This window comes from Homo sapiens, chromosome 2 (assembly GCF_000001405.40).
Source record: "Homo sapiens chromosome 2, GRCh38.p14 Primary Assembly".
Lineage (NCBI taxonomy): Eukaryota > Metazoa > Chordata > Mammalia > Primates > Hominidae > Homo > Homo sapiens.
Window position 1 is genome coordinate 177,489,619 of NC_000002.12, and position 18,819 is coordinate 177,508,437.

The 18,819-nt window shown below is 32.8% G+C and overlaps 1 protein-coding gene across 3 annotated transcripts in view; it reads left to right on the forward strand.

The window, feature by feature from the left end:
- The window catches only part of AGPS (alkylglycerone phosphate synthase), a 151,062-nt gene that overhangs the window by 96,846 nt on the left and 35,397 nt on the right, over positions 1-18,819 (forward strand). For all 3 annotated transcript variants that reach the window (NM_003659.4, XM_011512041.3, XM_047446104.1), the window contains exons 12-16: positions 3,530-3,581; positions 8,071-8,147; positions 10,000-10,112; positions 15,888-15,957; positions 18,352-18,413. In NM_003659.4, coding sequence (NP_003650.1) covers positions 3,530-3,581; positions 8,071-8,147; positions 10,000-10,112; positions 15,888-15,957; positions 18,352-18,413 — 374 coding nt within the window. The remainder of the gene's footprint in view (positions 1-3,529; positions 3,582-8,070; positions 8,148-9,999; positions 10,113-15,887; positions 15,958-18,351; positions 18,414-18,819) is intronic.

Genomic DNA, 18,819 nt, shown 5'->3' on the forward strand with positions numbered 1-18,819 from the left:
TACAAAAAGTATACTGATATTTCTGTATTAGTCCATATCAGGTTTCATATAGTTTCAGACTATTAAGTATAAAATATAGTTAGGTACAAGTTCGATGATTTGAGAGATTCTAGTAAGGGTACATTTATCGTAGCAGGAAAGAAATCAATTATTTCATTAGCTCAGTTTTAGTAAGCAATTTCTGTCTGAGTATTCTTGAATTCCCTGAATTTATCATTAACCCATCATTAAAATTTGTAAAAATATTCCCTCTCAGGTTAGTTTTGATCGCTTACCAGCAGGGGTCACTTTAACTCAAGGACCTTTTTCCCTCCTTTACAAAATCTGTGGAATACTCTCAGCCCTGCATTAGTAAATAACATGGGAGTGAATTTAGAGCTCAAATTCTCAGAACTTGTGCTGTCTCTGACTTTTGAAGGCAATCTTTTGTGGTTTTTTTAAACCTACCAAATTAGTTTTAAAGCAGTGGAAACATAACCTAATCTTAACTGTACATATAGTAACTCAAATTGATGTTGTTTTTTAAGAATAGTAACATTATTTTGATCTCTTGATTATAGAACCTTCCATTTAATTAACTGTAGTGGTAACTTTTAATTATTTGAATTATAAGAAATGTTTTCAGCTTTATATATTTAGAATGATGTGCAGTGATTTACAAATATCAATTACCAGGAGATCATAAACCAACCTAGATGCTATTTTTGAGTGCTTTACTTATATAAGCATTTAGTTATGACAATAACTGAAAAACTCTACTGACTTTTTAAAAATCTGGTACTATTGAAGTATGAGACTTTAAAACCGTTGGTTTGAATTAGATAATTTCAAAAAAGTCCATGTTAAAATAATTTAATATCTAAAATTAAAAAAATTCTTTAGCTTATTAGTTCTGTTTTGATAGTGTTTGTCTGTTACCATCTACTATTCCTCCTTGATACTAATAGGAATACTGGATAGCTAGCTTATGTGACTTGATTATCAAGTTAAAAATCACACTCAATATAATTGAATATTAGTTGCTATATGATACAGCAGTTGCCCAGGAGCTTTCTTGCCTTTTTTCCAGCTTTTTAATTTGAAAATTTTAAGCATACAGAAAATTTGAAAGACTGGTACAGTGATCACCTGTCTATCCACTTCATATATTCAACAATAATTAAGTTTTTGCTCTGTTTAACATGTACGTGTATATGTTTTTTGGACCATTTGAAATTAAGTTGCAGACTTTTTTTTTTTTTTTTTTTTTTTTTAAAGACAGAGTTTTGCTTTTGTTGCCCAGGCTGGAGTGCAGTGGTGCAATCTCGGCTCACTGCAACCTCCGCCTCCTAGGTTCAAGTGATTCTCCTGCCTCAGCCTCCCAAGTAGCTGGGATTACAGGCATGCACCACCACGGCTGGGTAATACTGTATTTTTAGTAGAGATGGGGTTTCACCATGTTGGTCAGGCTGGTCTCGAACTCCTGACCTCTGGTGATCCACCGCCTCAGCCTCCCAAAATGCTGAGATTATAGGTGTGAGCCGCCATACCCAGCCTAGGTTGCAGACTTTACAGCACTTAACCTAAATACATCAGCACCGTCTCCTAAAGACGGAATAGTGTTCTTCTTTATAACTACAATACCATTTTCATGTCTAAGAAAATCAGTAGGAATTTTTTTTTTTTTGAGACAGAGTCTCGCTCTGTCGCCCAGCAGGCTGGAGTGCAGTGGTTCACTGCAACCTCTTCCTCCTGGGTTCAAGCAATTCCCCTGTCTCAGCCTCCTGAGTAGCTGGGACTACAGGTGTGTGCCACCATGTCTGACTAATTTCTTTTTTTTTTTTTTTTTTTGTATTTTTAGTAGAGATGGGGTTTCACCATGTTGGCCAGGCTGGTCTTGAACTCCTGACCTCGGGCAGTCTGCCTCCCTTGGCTTCCCAAAGTGCTGGGATTACAGGTGTGAGCCACTGCGCCTGGCCAATCAACAGTAATTTGTTAATGCCATCTAATATTCATTATATAAGATTATTCCAGTTATCTCCAAGATATGTTTTATGAATAGTGTTTGCAAACCAAGATTTAATCAAGACTTGCATATTTTAATTGTTTTAAAGATTAAATACCCATAGAAATTTACTACACTAAATGTAATATACTTTCCTTCCCCCCCCCCCCCTTTTTTTTCATTTTGTTTTGTTTTGTTTTTGAGACAAGGTCTTGCACTGTTGCCCAGGCTGGAGTGCAGTGGCACAATCTTCGCTCACTGCAAACTCTGCTTCCCAGGTTCAAGTGATTCTCATGCCTCAGCCTCCCAAGTAGCTGGGATTATAGGTGTATACCACCACGCCCAGTTAATTTTTGTGTTTTTAGTAGAGACAAGCTTTTGCCATGTTGGTCACGCTGGTCTTGAGCTCCTGTCCTAAAGTGATTTGCCCACCTCAGCCTCACAAAGTGCTAGGATTGCAAGTGTGAGCCACTGCACCCATCCCCTCCCATTTTCTGATATATGTGTACTTACGTGAATTGTTTTCATTAATAATACTTGCCATTGATAAAGGTGCGGTAGAATGTGGTTGTTAGCAGGAGATGGAATTTACAAGTTGCTGGTAGGAACTTAAAATGTTTTTGTTATGAATGACAGAGTGGCTGTTACTGTCTCATATTTTACTTATGTGCTTAAGCTAGAATATATAAATATATATGTTATATGTATATTCTACTTATGAAGAAAAGAAATTTGGTCTAATCAGGCTTTGTATATTTTATTAGAAGTCAATGTGCCCACTTTATGAAAAACATTTCAGATTTGTAAACGTGAAGAAAACTGATTTTCCTTTAGTATTTTTGGAAACTGGTAACGTTTTTAGAAGTATCAACCCAACTACAAAGATACTCTTATGCCAATATTTGAAATTACTCAGGTAGTACATTTCTTTAACATTTTTAAACTATTATACATTTAATAAGACTACAAAATAGAAAATAACATAGTTTTAATGTAATTTTTGTTTGGAATATGATAAAGCTGTGTGTGCATGTGTCTGTGTTTTAAGTGATTTTTGGAGGCTGTGTGGTTTGCCTGAAATAGTGCTCATCTAAAAGTCAGAATGTCTTCATCTTCTACCTTTACTGTGGATAAAATACAGTATAGTTCATAAAATGGCATAATACTTGAGGCACTGGATTTTAGTTTTAGAAACATCTTTGTTCTAAAATAATCCACTTTGGGGTCTGGTATTTCTTTTAGGATATTCTCATATGTCTTTGCCAGACATTAGGCAGCTTTTTCTGCTGATAAATTTAAAATCTGTTAACTTATGTTTGTATTTATTTATCTATATCTGTAGATTTCTTCTCTCCAAATATTTTATAGAAGTCATTGATATTTGTCTTCATAAAAGTATATGAAAAGTTAACTTTTTTTCCTCTGTAAATCCTTAGGAACTAAGCTCTTGATCTCTTAAATATAGAAAGATAATATTCACATTCTACCTGTCTAGCTTCTTACTGTATTAAATTTGTATCACTTTTTTTTTTCTTTTTAAAACAGAGATGTGCTCCGGCATCTATTCGCCTCATGGACAACAAGCAGTTTCAGTTTGGTAAGTAAGGAGTGGTAATTTTAAAATGTCATTTAGCCACAGAAATTTATGAAACATCAGTAGGAAGAGTACGGAGTGCAGAGGTAGAAAGAACGTCAGTCTTGCCTTTCAGGAAGATGTCAGTCTAATGAAGATAGACAATTACATAAATGAGTGAGGGTAGCAGTGTTGGAGGGCCTGTGAAAGAAGACTGCACTGGATACCATGGGCTGCAAATGAAGGAATTGATTCTTCTTGATTTTGCTTGAGGATAAAGAGTCAGAAAAGGCTTTTATAAGAGAGATGCTTGAGCTAAATCTTCAAAGGTGAATATAAGTTTGCCTAGATGTCTCTTCTTCTTCTCAACCAGACTTCTTCACTTGGCAGCAAAAATGTGAAGGTGTGAAACTCAATGATGTGTGTTAGGGGACTTCAAATTGTTCTATGTGGCTCAAATAGAGGGTGGGGTTAGAGTTGTTACATGAGATAAAGTTGGTTGGGTGGGCTAGGGCTTTGCAGGATAGATTTGGATTTTGTCTTGTCAGCAGTGGGATTTCTTTGAAGAATAAAATCAATCAACTTTACATCTTAGCTCATTCTGGCAGCATTGTGCAGGATAGATTAGAAGGGTACATGCATGGAGGAGAGACACTAGGAGATGAAACAGCTCAAGAAGCAAAGTTTGAGGGCTTTGAGCATGGCAGCAGCAATGGAGATAGAGAACGGATGATAGATTTTCAGAAAATCAGTTTGCTAACTGGATGTGGAAGGCTAAATAAAAGGAGGAGTTGAAGACAACACCTAGACTGATTTGATTGGGTAGATTAAATAACATAGAAGAATGGGTGGTGGTCTTGGGAAAAAGATATGATAATGGGTTGTAGTTATATTGTGAAATTTACTTTGGGATTTAAGTTTATAGAATTTAAATACCCTCAAAACAATTCCTAAAATCATGAGAGTGATCGTTCAGTAATAAATACTAAAGGCAAAGATAGGCAGGCTTTTGTCATGTCTAAAAGTAAGCTGAGATTTTAATTTAGGGAAGCATGGTTATAGTTACATAGAAACTTAACTAAAGTCAGGTTCGTAACATATTAAGAGTTTTAAAATTACATTCTTCTAAGTTAGTCATAATTGTTTATTTCTTTAAGTAAATTACTTTCAAAATACTATACTACTGACAAAAGTTTAAGATAAATATGTTCTATAAGTAATGAAATACTTAAATCAAGTGAAAAACCACTTGTGTGTTTTGGCCTGCATTTAAAGATCTAGGTCTTAAAGAGAGCCATGCATCTAATTAATAAGACTGTGTTATTCGTTTATATGTTATTGTTGTTGTAAACAATGTTAGACCTAGGCATTTGTAAAATTAGTTATGATTTGGCCATACTTATTTATAATTGGAGTCCATAACAATTTAAAGTGAAGGTTTAAAGAAAGTCTTCCTGTCATCCCTCTTCCATGTTCTCATTACTATACCTGAAAACATACTTACTTGCTCCCCTCTAGCTTGCTCCTGTCTGTGGTATTATAGGTTCTACCTTCTCTAGTCTTTACTGTGTCTCCCCTCTCTCTGCCCTTTACTTAGCCACCAAAGTGATCCTTTTGAAATACAGATCTGATCATGCTTTTTGGCTGTCTATATAACCTTTTTTATTTCTCAATTTTAATTGAAGCCTTTACATTAATATATCCTGCCATGGCTTCATGATCAAGCAAAAGAGGAAATAATGCTTAGCACAACAAAAGGTGCCCCAGACCCTGCACTAACCGTATGGCTGATTGGTCGGTGTTTATACCACATTGGTTGTTAACAAAGCACATGCCATATTATTAGTTGTTAATATTTTTAATATAATCTCTACTTCAGGTACAACTCTTAATACATTATATTGACATTATCTAATTTTAGTATATTGAAATGATATATATCATTGTGTATATTGAAATAATCCAAAGATGTCCTCTATAAACCAAAGTTTCTCGAATTTAGGGTATGTTTCTTAGTCATTTTTCTATCACCTGCACTTATCACGTAATAGGCATTTATATGTTGATTCAATTAATCATCAAATTGGCAAGGGGGTGAACAAATCCTAGATGGCATAGTGCTGATTACATTGTCAATAGCACACTTTATAAAATTCTATTCATGACTGTTCGTCAGAGTGGTATCCCCACTTTACAAATGACTCAAAGACTCATTATTTTGACTACGGTCCACAAATCATACGTGGTAGAGCTAGGGATGAACCCAGATTTGTCTGACTACAAAGCCCAGGAGTTTTTGCACTGTCTGTAACCACTGCTTTAAAATATAGATAATTAATAAATCCTGTTAAATGACACGATTAACATTGAAATAACAGAAAATTCACTGATCAAACTGTCCAGCTAGTAAATTTGGAAGTGAGTTTAATATTTTAAAAAACCACAATAGCAGCTGGGTGCAGTGCCTCACGCCTGTAATCCCAGCACTTTGGGAGGCCAAGGCAGGCGGATCACCTGAAGTCAGGAGTTTGAGACTAGCCTGGCCAACATGGTGAAACCCTGTCTCTACTAAAAAAAAAAAAAAATACAAAAATTAGCTGGGCATGTTGGCGAGCACCTGTAGTCCCAGCTACTCGGGAGGCTGAGGCAGGAGAATTGCTTGAACCGGGGAGGCAGAGGTTGCTGTGAGCCGAGATCACACCACTACTCTCCAGCCTGGGTGACACAGTGAGACTCTGTCTCAAAAAAAAAAAAAAAAAAAAACAAACCCACAATAGCTAGAATATATTTAAAATGTAATTATATTGTTAGGCAACATATTTAAGAAAAAGTAAAAGATAATATTATCTAGTTGATACTAATGCTTGACCCACCTAAAAGTCAGTATCACTTTTACAATAATTTATTCTTCAAAGCTATCATGTCACCTTAGTATCACAGATGTATGTGAGTAATTCTACTAGCATTAATGGAAATTGTGCATATAAATCTCGATGAGTTAAGTGAACATTTACCCTTAAGGATTATTTCATATCAGAGTAGTATCATATGGAGTCCGCATGCATTGTATAAAGATAAGTGAATCTTTTGTATAAAGAATAGATAATTTCAACTTCTGCCAAGAACACAACATGCACATTCAATATATAAATGTTTATATATGTATTTCTAATTGTTGTTAATATAGGATGAGTTCCATTTGGGACCAGAAATGAATGTTTTGATGATACGTTATTTCTATCTTTATAGATATTAGAAATTGTCTCTTAAAGCGCTAGTTATACTAGGAAGCATCTCTGATAGTTTAAAATAAAAGAAAAAAATCCCCAAGCGTATCTCTTACTTGTGATCCAGGAGCTCAAAAAGATTGCTAGGTTGATCTCTATCTAACCTGCAGTTCAGTTTGTTTCTTTGTTGTTGTTTTTTAATGCCTCAGGTATAGCATAGATATCTAATTCTTAGCCTCTGGTTAAGACTTCTATTACTTGGTCTTTTATGTAACACAGTTTCCTATTATAATCAGCAAAAATGTAGTAAGTAGTATTACAGATTGAGATTCTTATAAAAAATGGATAGAAAAAAACTACCAGTGATAGTTTTAGAAACAGCTAGTTTGCTCTTTGCACCTATTTTAAAAGAAGGAAAGGAAGGGCCTACACTTTAAAAACAAACAAAATCCCCAAACCTTAAAGGCTTTTTTAAAAAAGAAAACTTTTTATTTGGAGATAATTTTGACTTACTTAAGACTGAAATTCTTTATAAAAATTTTGTATAAATGGTATGACACCTTTTTCTGAATTGGGCTGCTAACACTGAGGCCAGATGCATGACTCTTAAATGTAGCAATCATAGGAGTTGAGTCGTTACTACTTTCTGAAAAGTGAGAAAACAGTAAAAGGTTTTCACTCAATTAAGCTTAATCTGCAGGCAAAGATGTTAATTTAACAGACTTTGAGACTCCATTTATGTTATTTTGGCAATTTTAACTCTCCGGGTGTGATTAAGGAAGCAATTGCTAGTTTTATGCCAAGAATTCTGGATGAATTAACAATTAATTAAGAAACAACCTTAAACTTGGCATTAACTCCATATTTGGATAGTTCTGAATAGTTTCTATATAATTAAAAAAAAAAGTAAAACCAGCCACCATGGGTGTTCTTAATGAAATAAAAATTAATGAAGTAATTTTATTATGTGTAAACCATACCGTTGAAAGAAAACCTAAACTATGTGTAGTATTAATTACATATAGTGATTTGACTTAAAAAATCAAATTGATAATGGGTTTTGTAAATAAAAAGTTGTTTGTGACATTTGAAAGAAGATAAAAGTAGCAAATATTAATATAACTATATATCGTAATATAAATATTTATGTAAATAACACGGGAAGATTTTAAAAATTAAAGTTGTGAAAACTTTTACTTTCTTTTAGGATTCTAAGTTGGAGTAGCTTCTTGATCTTCTGAAAAACATAGACTAACCTATTAATATAAACTTTTTTCTCTTCTTAGGTCATGCTCTTAAACCTCAGGTTTCCTCTATTTTTACATCATTTTTGGACGGATTAAAAAAGTTTTATATTACAAAGGTAAGAATTTTTATAAAATGCTAAAATTGTAAATGCTTAAGATATCTGTTTTCTGCTTTCTTCCCACATGCACCTATTGTAAGGGTGTTTTTCCATGTTGCTATGTACATTTCAGAATTACAGTTTTTCATGTTGGAATAAATATTAAGTAAATCAGGCAGTCAATTTCAGAAAATTTTATTTCTTTTCCAGTTTTGAAGCTTCTAAAAATAACACTGCATTTGAACAGTTTTGTTTTCATAACATTTTCTATAGTTTAAATTTTTTCCTTTATGGAAGGTATCCATAAAGTGAAATAAGAGTGTGGATTTTTTTTAACCTTTGATTGTTGAATTTTTTTCCTAGAGTGTTAAGCCATCTTATAATACATGTGTGCCTTCTTTTCCTTGCATCCTTGTTATTCCATGTGGGATTCTTTTTGTTACATTTTTAATTTACCAGGGGGAAAACAGTACTTTCTTCTAGTTCATGTTTTTTGAAGCTCCAATGAGACTGAACGTTAACATTTTTTTTATTTTCTAGATCTAATTTTTGTGTGAATTCGTTGGATATGGTTATTTTTGCCAGGTGGTGGTGGGGGGTGTGCAGCTTCATGTTTTTTTCTTGGTACTTTGATGTATCTTTTTTTGAGATTGGAATTATTAGATGTCCTTTGTCATAAATGTTGTAAGTAATTTTTTTTCCCAGTCAGGCATCTCCTTTTTTAATAGGGATTTTTCTTTTTTGGTGTAAAAGTTTCAAATTTTTATATCTTTTCCTGTGATTATTTAATATAGTCTAAGCTTAGAAAAGCCTTCCTTCCTCCAGTAATATGATCAGGGCCATTTTCTTCACTCTCTCTCTCTTATACTAAATGAGAATTTAAAAAAAAAAAAGTCTTTATTACTATTTGTATTTATTTCAATTTTATTATGTGAAAAAGATCTAAATTAATCTTCACCTCCTGCTCCTCCAATTGTTAACCGGTTGTGGCAGCACCATTAATTAATCTGTGCTTCTCATACATTGATTTGCTATGCCTCATATCTTATATACTTATCTAAGAAATAGATTCCATTTTAGTGCATCTCAGTCTTTTTTAATGAGCTTTTTGTTCTTGAAAAATTAAATAGATTTCATTGTTGTAGGTCTATTTTTCCCTCTTGCTATTCAGAATTTTCCTTGTTATCACCATCACCTATTATTCTAGAAAAATTTTAGAAACTTTTCATCATTTTAGGAAGTTCATTGTGTTTTTTAATTAGAATTGGAATAAACTAGTACATTAATTTGGAGAAATATTGACTGGTTTATAATACTTAGTTTATGCATTTGGGAGCATACGTCTTACTCATCTTTTTTTGGATGTGTTTTAGATATGTTTCCTAATATATTTCTTTTTAAGATTGTTAGATACTGTTTTTGTTTTATGCATAAGATCGCCTTTGAAAACTTTATTTAATAAGAAGTTATTGTTAGTATGTAGGGATGTTGTTGATTTTTGCTTCCCGCCCAATATATCCAGCTACTTTATTCTATCATTCTGCAGTTTTTTATTTGATTCTTTATCATAGTTATTATTTCAACAAGTTATTTGTTGTATTTACATAAGCAATATGTTATTATGATTAACACTGTGGCATACTTTGAAATAAAGTGTTTTTTTCTATGCTGAATAGCTTTGCTACGTTGTAATGACCTAAATAGGTTTATTAAACATTCTTAGTGATTGACATGTAAAGTTCCAAAGCTCAATTTTTAAGAAATCAGTGTATTTGAGCCCAGATCAGAAGGAAAAGAGCAAAATGTATTTTGATTTATTGTTTTGTAGGATAAGACTTATCTGTAATAATAAATTTTTTTTTTTTTGTAGTTTAAAGGATTTGACCCAAATCAGCTAAGTGTAGCCACATTACTGTTTGAGGGGGATCGTGAGAAGGTTCTTCAACATGAAAAACAAGTGTATGATATTGCTGCAAAATTTGGGTATGGCTTCAAGTTCATAATGCCAAGAGAAAGAGTTAAAAGCTAAGATTCTAATATCACCAAGCAATTATTAAAGTACTAGGCATTAATGTCTCCAAACAGACTGCATGTCTCAAAGTAGTTATTAATTTCAGTTTAGTGTTAAATTTGTGGTAATTTATGATAGTAAACTTAAAATATTGTTTTGGTTTACATCCAGAATTTTTAGGAAGTTAGATTGATATGTTGCTCTTGTCTAATCATATATATATTATTATTAAACATTGTATTTTTCCTAGATTTTTACATTAATGTCAATTTCATGATATTTGTTCTACTAGAGTAAAATAGAAAATTCATTGTCCTCTTACTCTGTGGTGATAATAGTGTATGTATAAAGCGTGCTACTAGTGTGTTTTTAAAAGGAAATTGTGTTTAATCGAAGGTATTTGATAAATTATCTATACTGCACCCCCTGTCACTTACTGTTTTGTGCTGGTATAAAGAAACAGAAAACATTTCACATCTATAACCAACTGAATAATGGTAGGGTGGTTTCTCTCTGTCTTCTTGATGGATTATAAGACTGATTGATGAGAACTATAGTGAAAATGCCATTTATCAGGACTATGTTTTTTCCTTTCCTTTTAAAGTACATAAACTAACAGTTTCTAGACACTAATCTTTTCTTTTTTGATTTCAGGGATTAAAATATATCATATACATTATGCTTAATATTAGTTCTTTGTAAATATTTATTTTCATTTCTTTTTCATTGTTTTTTAAGAAAACAAATGAACACTTAATTTGGACCCATGTGTTTTAGAATGCCCCACTTTTATGTATTTTTTTTCATATCTAATATTAGCCCTTTATTTCTAGGGTTGTCTGAATTTAGTGTTAACGTGCAGTATTCTTAAAGGGGAAAATAGTCTAATCTTAGACTTAAATTTTAGTTTTCTTTTGCACTATTTTTAAGTATTGAAAATGTCTCACTTTTACCCTATTCTGAAATTGGCAAATGGAATTTTAATTTTTTCAGTAAAAGAGAAAGTTTATTCATCTTTCATCTTTTCTCGATAGCTGTTTTGGGAATTGCTGATATTTTAACTAAATCACTTAAAAATAATTGTGCTATAAAATCCATGTAATGACCAGATGGCTTGAATTTCAGGTCATCTCATTTTTGTTTGAATTTTTGAAATGTACATGTTTTCCTTCCCAGAAGGAATTTAGCCCTATGTATGTACCCGTTTTTTAGTTTCTAAGTTATAGGGAGTACGTATGTAATTTGATTAAAGGACTGTTTTCTTAAAACATATGATGTTAGTAAGGCACAAGGACATTTAAAACCTACTCTAGCCTTAAATATTAGAGACTGAAGCTTTAAAAAATTGTTCATTGTGTATTTAAATATTTACTTGGATTTCATAATTTCTAAGAAGGGCTTGTAGGGAAATGGAAGGGTGCATTTTGCTTTATCATTTAAATAACTGTATATAGAGTTAAATTTGCTTAGTTTCACCTCAGTCGTCTCTCTGCTCACACACACCTCCACATCTGTACACACACCCACACACAGAGGAATTTCAGTTTTTAGGATCTATCTTTATAATTTCAATTAAGTATGGCTAGTAACTCATTACTAGTTAGTAATGTGTCACATTTCCTGTTAGAATGGGGTAGGATGATGACATAATGCTTGTTTGTTGTGCCTCATAATTTTTATAGGGCATGACCTATCTTTTTCTTGTGCATCACTGTTGATGTCTAGTTCATTCTAGATACTTGATTTAATAATTGTTGAATGAATGAATGAAAGTGAATACTATATTTTCCTGATATCTTTTATTCTACTTTGTTTATGCCTAATTACTGTGCCACCTGTAAAACAGTGTATTTTCATCTTTAGGTATTTGTCAATACATTTTGTCAGGATTTTTTTGTTTGTTTGTTTTTGTTTTTGTTTGTGTTTTGAGACGGAGTCTTGCTCTGTCACCCAGGCTGGAGTGCAGTGGTGTGATCTCAGCTCACTGCAACCTCTCCCGCCCAGGTTCAAGTGATTGTCCTGCCTCAGCCTCCTGAGTAGCTGGGATTACAGGCTCATGCCACCACGCCTGGCTAACTTTTGTATTTTTAGTAGAGATGGGGTTTCACCATGTTGGTCAGGCTGGTCTCGAACTCCTGACCTCGTGGTCCACCCGCCTTGGCCTCCCAAAGTGCTGGGATTACAGGCATTATTTTGTCAGTTTTAATTTGAGCCACCGACTGACATGAATGTCAGTAATGCCAGTTTTGTTTTCTTATATGTCACTATCCATTTACCAATTAAAACTATAAGTGAATCTTCTTTAAAATATGGCATCCAGCTGCCTTCAGATACTGACACTTAGGCCCAAGCACTATTGCTGTACTTCTAGCAGTTTTGCTTACTCAAACAAAACTTGTATCAAATTTGTCCATTAAAAATAGGTTATAGTAAATGAGACTCAATTTAAAGCAAGGGTAAAGAGTTAAAGATTGGCTCCGTTTGAGGTCTCATTTTTTTTTTTTGCTGTTATTTGTTCCTTCTTAGTTATAATTAATTTCTTAATGTGCTTTCATTCTGGCTCCCTTTTATTAGATGTGGACATCTTCTATTTTAAACAACCCAGATTGTTATTTGGCAGATTACTTAGATTACTTAGAGCCATTTCGATTTTTTTTTTTTTTTTTTTTTTTGAGACAATGTCTTGCTCTGTCACTCAGGCTGGAGTGCAGTGACCTGATGATCATGGCTCACTGTAGCCTCAGCCTCCCTGGGCTCAAAGGATCCTTCCTCTTCAGCCGCCTGAGTAGCTGGGACTACAGGTGCACGTCACCATGCCTGGCTAATTTTTGTGTGTATGTGTGTGTGTGTTTTGTAGAGATGGGGTTTTGCCATGTTGCCCAGGCTGGTCTCAGACTCCTGGTCTCAAGCAGTACTCCCACCTTGGCCTCCCAAAGTGCTGGGGTTACAGGCATGAGCCACTGCGCCTGGCCTATTTTAAGTTTTTAATACTTGGAAATATCTTCTTTTGGTTTTCTACCAGAAGTTCTAGTATCCCACCAGTTTTCTGTAGGCACTAATTTTTTGTTCTAATCACTGAAGATTCAAGGATATTTTACTTAGGTAAAATGCCACTCTTCCCACCTCAATCCTCAATCATCTCTCCTGCATAACAAGACAAAAGAAAGCACCACCAAGTTTCTTTCTGCTACAGTTTTCATGTGCTAGTTTAGCTCATGTATTTTATTTTGAATTGGGGCATTATTCATCTATCCCTTTTTTTTTATTTGTTTATGAAACTCTCTACTGCCTTATTAGCTTTACATTGATTTTTATGAAGTATTCCCAACAATTTAGAGCATTTTTATGTGTTGTCTTAGCCATTTTTTCTCTTTGCTTACCCTTCACTCACACCCCAACATAGTTCAATACCTTTGAACACATATGACCCAACAGAACATAGTAGCCACATAATGAATAATCATACTTTGATTGTTTATCCATGTTTGCTAGTAATGTATTTTAACTTCTCCAAGAGCAGAGCAGAATAAACATTACCTGTCAGCACTCATGACAGGTGTTTTGACATTTACCATAGAACTTAAGGTAATATGTTATCATTATTTTTAAAGCATGCTTAAGTTGTTTAATATAATTCAACATGAGAGTGATTAGGTTCACCAGATGGCCCTTTTATATAAAAAGATTGTCTCTCATTCCTCTTTCATTAGTCTTTCCAGTCCTTCCTCATGAGACAGCTTTAAATTTGTTTAAAAACCTTGAATTGATGTTTGAAATTTGTGGGGACAGCAGGAAGTAGGGGATCGATGTTGCTACTTTAACATAAAGCAGTTTGAATCTACATGCAGTCATTTTGGAGTGATTACAAAAGTCACAATTTAGAAGCATTTGATTTTTAAGCCCTACTATTCTTTAATATATTGTATTTTAAGGTAATTCTGGCTAGAATATTGACAGTTCTGAAAGCTAAAAAGAGAAAAGTTTCAAAAAGTTCAGTCATAAGTCTATGATTTCCTTGTAAAGCCCAGACTGACTCTACTTCTTTGGGCTTATGAATTTAGAAAGGACATCCAATTTCTTCCTGCTTTGAATTAGAAAATGCATGTTTCTCTGTGGTTTGTCTCCCTGGATCCTAATGTGAACAGATCTGTTTCCTCCCTACTGCCAGATATTAGAAATATTAGAAGAGGGTCTAAAGAAAGATGACTTAGGACTGAAAAGTAAGACTTTTTGTCTCATCTCGACATAACAGAGGCAAGCCTATTAAATGTTTATACCTGTTACTTCTCATCAGATACATACTTGGCATTCTCTTTTCTCAAATATTCCCAACACAGGTGCCTTGCACCTTTTCCTACTCCTCACTCTCTTTTCCTTTCCTTCCACCACTAGGTTCAGGATGGATGAACTGTTTCTGTTTCCTAGACCTGTGGTGCTTTTTCTCTCTTGGACTCAGAGTCTGACTCTATTTTATATCTACTTGAGCTATGGGCTAAGCTGTTTTCCTTTACGCACTTGCCACAGCAGTTTTCTGACTTGTTTTCCTTTTGTTTTGAAACTTGGAGGCTTTCTACCTCCAACCTCACATCCAACTCAGAATTGTGTTTTATCTCTTCTTCTCACTTTCAGCTGCTTGACCAAAGTTTTATCTTCTTTGCTCATTAACATTCTAATACAAACAGTCCCCTTCATTTTTTTTATTATACCCCATTCTCAAGTAGTTCTAGACTAGAGCTGCTTATATCAAATCTTTGCCACTTCTTTTGGATAACACCATCTACCTATAGTGGCAAGTCAGGAAATTTTGATTTAGCCCATTTAGCTTGAAATTATCTTACAGTATTTGTACAGAACAAGAGTACATCTACATTGTAGTGTTTACTTACTACCAAATTCAACACAACTTCAGAAGAAGAAAATATTTAATTATAAGGTGTTAATTGAGGTGATAAGATAAACAATTTTTCCTTTAGTTGACTAAAGTTAAAATTTTAATTTCTGTATGATAATGGAAAAAGCATAATTAAAAACTATTTACTAAAGGTAGTGGAAAAACAGTATTCATTCATTGTCTTTTAAAATAAGAATAACTTTTACAAACAAGAGTACTTGGACTGAATTATATATTTGTATGGGATTAATTCTAACTAGATCATCAAATACAATTTCTATGGATGAAATTTTCCAATTGAAAGAGATAGTTTATATGTTCATAGTAGTAAGACCTTACCTGTGTTGGTCTTGTGTTTGTTTATACATTGCTTTATAAAATATTTCTATGTAAGTATGTTTTGTCTCTCATTTAAATCATAAATTTCATAAAATAAACACCACATCTAACATTCCAAATACTATGTACTCATCTTGTATTCTGGAAGCTTCTCAGTATTGGGGAGTTCCTAGTCGTCACATTTCTTCAAATATGAGTGAGACAGTAATAACATATGAATATATGAGTAAGAATATGATGAGTAAAATAAGAATACTTGTGTGAAGATTATTTCAGCTTATTTGTTTCTCATAGTTAATTCTTTCTGTGCTTTTTTGAGAATATGGGTAGAAGTAGTTGAGTTTATGAGTCAATTTTATTTCGTGGATAAAAGTTTGAAATTAAGATGAAACAGAAATATTAAAAGTGTTTTCAGATTTTTGTTATTCAAACTTATTCTCTTGACAGCTTTTTGATACATTTATGATAAATGAGATTAAGATAAAAAATTTATTAACAGTTTGTTCTTTAATTACAGTGGGTTGGCAGCTGGAGAAGATAATGGACAGAGAGGTTATTTGCTGACCTATGTTATTGCATACATTCGAGTAAGTTATATCATATTTCCCTTGCCACTTAATTTATGTTGCAAACAATACTTTTTCTTACTTTAAGTGAATGCAATTGTCTTCCCTATTTTTTAAAATTTTAAGCTACTGTAATTTAGCATATCATTTTACATGAACCTTATTTTAGCTACAAATCTTCAGAAGCCCATTTAAACCTTCTCCATATGCTCTTGAAGAAGTTAAAGATGATTTAATATGTCTTTCTGCTCTTTAAAAGAATGGAGCCTTTCTCTGTTTAAAAGTTGAGCATACCATTCATAACATTACTTGGTTAAAATCAAGCTGTTTTACTTAGCAACACTCTTCACTTAATAATCTGTTTTAATGATGTGTAAATCTTTAACTGTGTTGTAAAATTTTGATATTTAACTTGAAGTAGTTATTTGTTCACTGATGATGATTATAGAATTAAAGAAATAATTATGTGTACTTGAACACTCAAATGTTTCTAATTCTAGATTTTCTACTTACGATATACTGAAATAGTCTTATTATCTCAAGTCTGTTGTATTTACTGATATGAAATTGTTCTTTTGAAATTTTATTTTTTCAATTTAGTTTTGTTTTTCTACTTTGTAACAAATTCAAATTTCTTAATTGCTTTCTGCTGTTGCTGGGGTTACTTTTTTTATTTTTTATTTTTCCTGTTTACATAATTTGAATGATCTTACTCTAAAAGGTCATTTTTTCAGATATCCTATTGAGAATTTGGCTTCCACAAATACTCAGCTTTCTTGTTTTAATTATAAAAATTTTTGGAAATTTATACATAATAAATATACATATTTTCAGGGTACGTATGATATTTTGATAGCTTCATATAATATGTAAAGATCAAATCAGGATTGGGATATCCATCACCTCCAAATACTAAATTTACTAATTTTTCTCTTGGAAATTTTGAACCTTATACACAACAATTGTTGTAAGCTTATGTACAACATGTTTTTCTCTAAAAAAGGCTGAATTAATATGTTCTCATTTTAGCAAAAATTTAATCCCAGCTAAAATCTAAATGTTAAATTGCAGTGAATTTGAAGCATATAGTCCTCCTCTTTTGTCCCCTGCCCCCACAGTGATGATGATAAGTAAAAGTATATTTATTGCCTGTTCAGCATTTTAGAAATTTTGACTAAGAGATGTACTGATCATGAAAGGTAATAGATGATTGTAGATCTTGTAAATAATATCTACAATTATCAATTGTCAATATCATAGTTTCTTCCCATAGTAAGCATTTTGAATATACATAAAATGTTGTTTGTTAGGCATTTTCTCTGAGGATATTGGCCTTTTCCCCATAATACTGAATTCAGAATTCTAGAAAATGAAATATAACTGTAACAAGTACAGCATAGACACAATTTGGAGTATCTATCTTAATTTTTAAGGTTCTAGTTAATGTTAAAACTGAGTCAAAAGCAAGTTAGGGATTCCGCCCCCCCTACCCCGGGATTACATGTTTTCTGTTTTTATAAGTTTTACAATGGTTAATACCATTGTCTCTAAATATATTTTTACTGAATAAATGAGTGCATTAGAGAAAAACACATGCTTTAGATCAGATCAGTAATTTGGGGATTTTTTTGTTTTTTTCCCCAAACACAGGTGGGTTGAAATGACTCATTTTACTTGAAGTGAAAACTTAACATATGTTGAGTTTTCTGCCTTATAAAATTTTCTTTAAAATCTCTGGACTTCTGTGAAGCTTTCTTTCCAATTTTGATAACAAAACAATATTGCTCTGGGTAAAGAAATTAAGTATTATAAGTTACTTGTAATATGAGTATTATATCCTCTATACTGTAAAATATTTTCGTAGTAGAAGTGCCTCCAGATGTTTGATCTATTCTGTCACTTCAGATAGCTGCACTATATTACTATGTTTTCTAAATTTGTTTTTAAAGAAAAGTTGATTTTAAGAAAAAAATCTCCTCATTCTAAACACCTTCCCCCTGCCCCTCACTTCTTGATCTTCCTACTCCTTTGATCTTGACTAATTTTCGATATTGGTTAATTTACTATTTATGCCACTAAAATTCTGTTCTGTCAGTATTCTCTACATGTACACAGACTGTTCCTGGATAGAAACTCCATTCACTAAAGAAATAAATTTGAGTTCTTGCCCTGAGTCAGGCACTCTGCCTGGTGCCAAGGATACAGAGAATAAGACAGACAAGGTTCCTTTAGTTACGGAGGCTGCATCTCACTCCAGGGACAACTTTTCAGTGCTCTTATGAGGTGGATAGTAAAGAGTGGATGAAGTTAAATGAGAAACATGTGATACTAACAATGAATATGAAAGACTAACAGTGTTATTGATTCTTCTGCATCTGTTGTAGTTTCTTGATTTTTCTGTTTGTGTCTTAATAGGACTTGGCTTTGGAATACTATGTATTAGGAGAATCTTTTGAGACTTCTGCTCCTTGGGACAGGTAAAATATACTAAAGTGCCTGATATTATTCAAATATGCGATATGAATTGCTTGAAGTAATGTTTCTTTTTGTGTGAATATGTAAGTTTAAAACATTTTATGAAGAAACATTGAGACAAGGCAGCTACTTTATTTAAATTAATATATTCATCAGAATGCCGTATTTTCAAGTGTTTTATTGGGTGGAGGGAGTTGAAGAAAATTTGTCTGTGATCCAAAGAACGAAGGTATTGTTGAAGTTTACATTTTGAAGAATGTTATTGAATGCTCAGTGTTACTATGTGGTTATACTTCGCTTTGACTTAAATTCTTAAGTGATTAATATTGCTTAAATGTTCTCTAAAAAGTCCTCCCAAAGTATAAAACCAGTTAACTGTCCTTTATAATATTATTTAGTTTTTGATAT